The sequence below is a fragment of the Homo sapiens genome, chromosome 19 (assembly GCF_000001405.40).
Source record: "Homo sapiens chromosome 19, GRCh38.p14 Primary Assembly".
Lineage (NCBI taxonomy): Eukaryota > Metazoa > Chordata > Mammalia > Primates > Hominidae > Homo > Homo sapiens.
Genome location: NC_000019.10, coordinates 47,323,249 through 47,330,737, shown reverse-complemented (window position 1 = coordinate 47,330,737; position 7,489 = coordinate 47,323,249).

The following is a 7,489-nucleotide window of genomic DNA, read 5'->3' as shown; positions in this document are numbered from 1 at the left end:
CCTCTTTATTCAGCAGTTCTTTCTGTTTGTGCTTTTTTTGTGCGTGCTTTAGGGATTCAAGGGATATATTTACACACTTCTTTTGTTATTGTTTTAGAGAATGAAATCACTTTGCTAGAGGAAGTTGTTCGTGAGACAAGGAGCTGGGACTCACTGTTTGACCCAGGGCTTCCTCCACTCTGTTTCCCTGACTAGGTGACCCTGCGTTGGCTGACCCTCACCCCGGACCCTCAGAGAGGAAAACATCCCCCAAGTCCCCTCCCCTCCTCTTCTGTCCCGGGAAGCCCCCTCCTTGGGAGAGGAGGGACATCCTGCCAGCCCCAATCTCCTGTGGGAATCTGCCCTGGCCTGAAGAAGAGATTAAGAGGAAAGAAACCGAGGTGGAACCTTCCCTTTATCAGCTCAAACTTTCTTTTTTTCTTTCTTTTTTTTTTTTTTTTTGAGACGGAGTCTGTCTCTGTTGCCCAGGCTGGAGTGCAGTGGCGCGATCTCGGCTCACTGCAAGCTCCACCTCCCGGGTTCACACCATTCTCCTGCCTCAGCCCCCCCGAGTAGCTGGGACTACAGGCACCCGCCACCACGCCCGGCTAATTTTTTTTGTATTTTTAGTAGAGACGGGGTTTCGCCGTGTTAGCCAGGATGGTCTCGATCTCCTGACCTCATGATCTGCCCACCTCGGCCTCCCAAAGTGCTGGGATTACAGGCATGAGCCACCACGCCCGGGAGCTCAAACTTGCTTTAACTTGAAAAGTTAACGATGGTCTGTTCCTCAGATGCTTCATCTTGATAAACTCCTGATACATCCACTAAGTTTTTCAACATACATTTCTTAGAATTGCAGCCAGGCAGGATGGCTTACACCTCTAATCTCCACACTTTAGGAGGCCGAGGTGTGAGGACTGCTTGAGGCTAGGATTTTGAGACCAGCCTGACCAACATAGTGAGATGCTGTCTCTGGGGGAAAAATATATATTTTTTTAATCCAGGGTCTGACTCTTCACCCAGATTGGAGTGCAGTGGTGTGATCACAGCTCACCGCAGCCTTGACCTCCTGGGTTCAAGCAATCCTCCCACCTCAGCCCCCAAAGTAGTTGGGACTACAGGCTCAAGCCACCACACCCAGCTAATTTTTTAAAAAACTTTTTGTAGAGATGGGGTCTGTCTCTGTTGCCTAGTCTTGCCTCCAATTCCTAGGCTCGAGCAATCCTCCCACACTGGCCTTCCAAAGTGCCGTGATTACGTGTGCTAGCCACAGCATCTGCCCCCCTAGAATTTGTTTTAATTAGCCAGGCGTGTTGGAGCGAGCCTGTAGTCCTGCTACTCTGGAGGCTGAAGTGGGAGGTGGAGGCTGAGGAGGGAGGATCGCTTGAGCCCAAGAGCTCAAGGCTGCAGTGAACTGTGAATGCACCACTGCACTCCAGCCTGAGCAACAGAGAAAGGCCCTGACTCGAAAAAATAATTTAAAATTTTAAAAAAATTGCCAGTCACGGTGGCTCATGCCTGTAATCCCAGCACTTTGGGATGCCAAGGTGGGTGGATCACCTGAGGTCGGGAGTTCAAGACCAGCCTGACCAACATGGAGAAACCCCGTCTCTACTAAAAATACAAAATTAGCCTAGGTGGTGGGCGCCTGTAATCCCAGCTACTCGGGAGGCTAAGGCAGGAGAATCGCTTGAACCTGGGAGGCGGAGGTTGCGGTGAGCCGAGATCGCGCCATTGCACTGTAGCCTGGGCAACAAGAGCGAAACTGCGTCTCAAAAAAAAAAAACCAAAAAAACAAATTTTTAAGTGTCTTAGATTTGAGGCTGGGCGCAGTGGCTTACTTCTGTAATCCCAGCACTTTGGGAAGCCAAGGCCAGTGGATCATTTGAGGTCAGGAGTTCCAGACCCACCTGGCCAACATTGTGAAACCCTGTCTCTACTGAAAATACAAAAAAAAAAAAAAATTAGTCAGGCTTGGTTGGGGAGTACCTGTAATCCCAGCTACTCAGGAGGCTGAGGCAGGAGAATTGTTTGAACCTGGGAGGTGGAGGTTGCAATGAGCCAAGATGGCACCACTGCACTCCAGCCTGGGCGACAGAGCAGGACTCCGTTTCCAAAAAAACAAAAACAAAACAAAAATCTTAGATTTGGGAAGGCAAAGATTTTCTGGTGTCCCTGGAGCTGAGGGCTGTCACTTGGAGGTCTGGGGGTTGCTATGGGCCAAGAACAGGGTCTCTACAGGCCTCGGAAGGCAGGAGGGGGGCCAGTGTGTACGTGCAGGGGATTCTCTCTCAGCCACCCTGTGAAAAGCCGAGCACTACCCCCTCAACTCACCAGCCATTTCCTCCTGGGAGAAATTTTGAATGAGAACATCCTACAAGGATTTTTTTTGCTTCTTTTTTTCTTTTTCTTTCTCTTTTCTTTTTTTTTTTTTTTGAGACAGAGTCTTGCTATGTCGCCCAGGCTCGAGTGCAGTGGTGTGATCTTGGCTCACTATACCCTCTGCCTCCCAGGTTCAAGCAATTCTCCAGCCTCAGCCTCCTAAGTAGCTGGGATTACAGGCACCTGCCACCATACCCAGCTAATTTTTGTATTTTTAGTAGAAACGGGGTTTCACCATGTTGGCCAGGGTTGTCTCAAACTCCTGACCTCAAATAATCCACCTGCTTCAGCCTCCGAAAGTGCTGGGATTACAGGTATTAGCCACCACACCCAACCATCCTAAAAGGTTCTTAAGTCAATCCATATGAAATTATCATTTTTCAGCCGGGCGCGGTGGCTCACGCCTGTAATCCCAGCACTTTGGGAGGCCGAGGCAGGTGGATTACGAGGTCAGGAGATCGAGACCATCCTGGCTAACATGGTGAAACCCCGTCTCCACTAAAAATACAGAAAATTAGCTGGGCATGGTGGCGGGCACCTGCAGTCCCAGCTACTCAGGAGGCTGAGGCGGGAGAATGGCGTGAACCTGGGAGGCGGAGCTTGCGGCGAGCCGAGATCGTGCCACTGCACTCCAGCCGGGGCGACAGAGCAAGACTCCGTCTCAAAAAAAAAAAAAAAAAAAGAAATTTTCATTTTTCTAGGTCAAAAAGGTTGAATTTCTTTTTATTTTTCTTTCTTTTTTTTTTTTTTTCCAAAAGAGACAGGGGTCTCACTATGTTGCCCAGGCTGGTCTTGAACTCCTGGCCTCAAACAGTCCTCCCACTTTGGCCTCCAAAAGTGCTGAGATTACAGACATGAGATACCATGTCAGGCCACAAGGTCAAATTTCAGCAAATCTGTAGAGTTAGAATGTACCTGGGTGGTCGCCAGGGGTTGAAGGCAAAGAATGGGGGGGGAGTGACTGCTTAATGGGTACTGGGTTTCCTTTTGGGGTGATGAGAATGTTCTGGAACAAGATAGCGGTGATGGATGCACAACACTGCAAATGCATGAAATGCCACTAATGGTAAATTTTATGTTATGTGCATTTTACTACAATTTTTCTTTTACTCGTTTTTTTTGTTTTTGTTTTTGTTTTTGTTTTTAGACAGAGTCTTGCTCTGTCACCAGGCTGGAGGGCAGTGGCTCCATCTTGGCTCATTGCAACCTCCACCTGCCTGCTGTGTCCAAGCGATTCTCCTGCCTCAGCCTCCTGAGTAGCTGGGACTACAGGCACGTGCCACTACGCCCAGCTAATTTTGTATTTTTGGTAGACTCGGGGTTTCACCATGTTGGCCAGGATGGTCTTGATCTCTTGACCTAGTGATCCACCCACCTCGGATCACTCTGTCACCCAGGCTGGAATGCAGTGGTGTGATCTCAGCTCACTGCAACCTCTGCCTCCTGGGCTCAAGCGATCCTCCTGCCTCAGCCTCCCAAGTACCTGGGACTACAGGTACATGTCACCACACCTGGCTAATTTTTTTTTTTTTTTTTTTGTAGAGATAGGGTATCACTATGTTGCCCAGGCTGGTCTCGAATTCTTGGGCTCACGTGATCCTCCCACCTCAGCCTCTCAAAGTGTTGGGATTACAGACATGAGCCACTGTGCCATGGCACCACAATTTTTCAAAAACAACAAATAAATAAATTGTTACACACACATCCCACCCCAAAAGGACTGAATCTTGGCAATTTCATAGGGTTCAATCTAATGGAATTACAGGGCTTAAAAGGATGAGTGACTAAGATGGGGAGGACCATAGACTTTTTCTCTTTTGAACAATATAATATGAAACAATATTTATGTGATATTTGATGCATAGGAGAGAATGTCTTAACATATATGAGAGTCATAAAACACAGTCACGGCCGGGCACGGTGGCTCACGCCTGTAATCTCAACACTTTGGAAGGCCGAGGTGGGTGGATCACGAGGTCAAGAGATTGAGACCATCCTGGCCAACATGGTGAAACCCCGTATCTACTAAAAATACAAAATTAGCTGGGCGTGGGGCGGTCACCTGTAATCCCAGCTACTCAGGAGGCTGAGGCAGGAGAATCACTTGAACCCGGGAGGCGGAGGTTGCAGTGAGCCGAGACTGTGCCATTGCACTCCAGCTGGGTGACAAGAGCAAAACTCTGTCTCAAAAAAAAAAAAAAAAATTAGCCAGGCATGATGGCAGGTGCCTGTAATCCCAGCTACTCGGATGGCTGAGGCAGGAGAATCGCTTGAACCTGGGAGGCAGAGGTTGCAGTAAGCCAAGATCGCACCACTGCACTACAGCCTGGGTGACAGAGCAAGACTCTGTCTCAAAATCAATCAATCAATCAAAGACTCTGGAGACTAGAATATTGGAATCACAGACTCTTAAAATGTTGGAATCATAGACTATTGAACCTAATAGATCCTACAATGTGAGTTACAGGCTATTTGAATCACAGGATCCTAGAATATCACACCAGAACCTCGGAGGGTTAGAAGCACGGCTCCAACAGTTAGATGTTCAAATTCTGTAGATGCTCTATACATTAGTCAAGGAAGTCTGGCCCTGAGCAGTCCAACACTGCAGCCACCAGCCACAAGAGACTACGGACCACTTGAAATGTCTTCGGGTCCGAGATAAGAAGTGCTGTGAGTGGAAAATACACACCAGATTTTGAAAACACAGTACCAAAAAAAACAGAATATGAAGTCTCAAGAATTTGTTTCTATTGAACACATGTTAAAATGATACTCCTTAAATATATTGTGTTAAATAAAATGTATTATCAAAATTAATTTTACCTGATTCTTTTTGTTTCTTTTTGTCTGTTGCTTGCCTGTGGGAAAATATAAATATCATTCTATTTCTTTTTTTTTTTTTTTTTGAGACAGGGTCTTACTCTGTCACCGAGGCTGGAGTGCAGTGGTGCGATCTTGGCTCACTACAGCCTCAGTCTCTCCTGAGCTCAAACAATTCTCCCACCTGAGCCTCCTGAGTAACTGGGACTACAGGTGCATACCTGCACACCCAGTTATTTCATTTGTTTGTTTTTAATTTTTGTAGAGACAGGGTCTCCCTATGTTGCCCAGGCTGGTCTTAAACTCCTGGGCTCAAGCGATCCTCCTGCCTCCTGGCTCACAGTCTATTACTTTCTCTTTTATTTTATTTTATTTATTTATTTATTTAGAGACAGAGTCTTGCTCTGTCACCCAGGCTGGAGTGCAGTGGTACGATCCCAGCTCGCCGCAACTCCCGCCTCCCGGGTTCAAGTAATTCCCCTGCCTCAGCCTCCCGAGTAGCTGAGACTACAGTCATGCGCCACCACACCTGGCTAGTTTTTGTATTTTTAGTAGAGACGAGGTTTTGCCATGTTGGCCAGGCTGGTCTCGAACTCCTGACCTCAGGTGATCCACCCACCTCGGCCTCCCAAAGCCCTGGGATTACAGGTGTGAGCCACCGCGCCCGGCCACTCACAGTCTATTTCTATGGGACTGTGCTCATCTAGAGAAATGCCTTCCTGGCTCTGAGAGGTGTGGGGTTCAGGACGGTCACGTGGCACAGATAAAGAGGAGAAGGCTTTGGCTCCAGGACTTAGAGGCATCCCGGTCTGCAGAGTAGATGCGTGAATAAGATCCCAGGGCTGCAGGGAGTGGGGGTGGGTGCCGGAAAGGGCACACAGCCTGACTCAGCCAAGCCCATCATCCACTTCCCTTCCCTACCACTTCCCCTTCGGAACTTGTTGACCCAGCAGATTCTCCAAGCTACAGATTTGGCAATTGTCTGCCCCTTCAGCCCACTTCCATACTGGGCAGAGCAGGTCAACACCAGATGGGGGCTGCCTTGGAAAGACTACCTGGATCCCACTCCTTGGCCTCCGACTCCTACTCTTTGGCCTCCCAGCTTTTGGGACACTATCTCCTTCCCAAATCAGGGTGGGTAGAAAATACCCACTGCCTGCAACTCCCGAAGCCAGGAAAGCTACAGGATGACTGGGAATAGAGATAGAATGTAGGGGTTGGGGAGGCAGAGGAGGAAGTCAGGGAGGTATTCCTGGAGGAGGTAACCCCTGAAGGAAGGCAGAATAGAGGCAGGGATGGTCTGGGAAAAACAGACTGGACAGCCAGGAAATCAGGGAAGGGGCAAGGCAGAGAGCCAAATGGGAGAGGATGGAGGGCATGGGCCAGGCAGGGCGTGGGGCGGGAAGGAGGTAGCATCCAGGATGGGCCCCAGGCTCAGGCCTGGGTGACTGGGTGCACCGCGGGGTTGTCTCTGGAGTCGGGAGGGAAGGGGAGGAAGAGGTTCCGGGGAGACTGCTGAGGTCAGTCTGGCTGTGGCAAGGGGGTGGGGAGGCCCAGTGTGGAAGAGAGATGCTGAAGATATTGGATGAAGCTGCAGGAGTGAGCGCACCAAATGAGGTGGACACACAGCTGAGGAACGCCAACGTCGAAGAGGAAAAAACTCTGCAAAGGACGCGGAGAAAGGTCCAGCAAAGAGGCAGAGGGAAACTATCCAGGTCAGGGGCAGCCATGGAAGAGACCGGAGCAGGTGGGAGAAGGCCAGGAGGCCAGGAGGCTGGTGTTGTCTTCTTGAGGAGGGAGCTGCCGGGAGCCCACCCCCAGGAGCTGAAGGCGGCTGGGGCTCAGGTCCTTCCCCGTGACCTCGATGCCTGGGGAATCTGCACTAATGAGCACAAGTTACAGAGAGGATCTTGTCCCAGGTACCAACGTCTACTCTCAAGCAGGCACAGACACCACTCACAGCCACTTCTGCAAGCTCAAGAGACTGCAGCATCTGTCCATCGAGACACTCAGGCAATTTTTTGTTTGTTTGTTTGTTTGTTTGGAGACAGGGTCTTGCTCTGTCACCCAAGCTGGAGTGCAGCATCACAACTCACTGCAGCCTCAAACTCCTATGCTCAAGCGATCCTCCAGCCTCGGCATCCCGAGTAGCTGGGACCACAGGCACTACCAACCACACCGGCTAATTTTTTCGTTAAAAAAAAAAATTTTTTTTTTTCTGAGAGAGTCTCACTCTGTCGCCCAGGCTAGAGTGCCGAGCCACAATCATAGCTCACTGCAACCTCTGCCTCCCGGGTTCAAG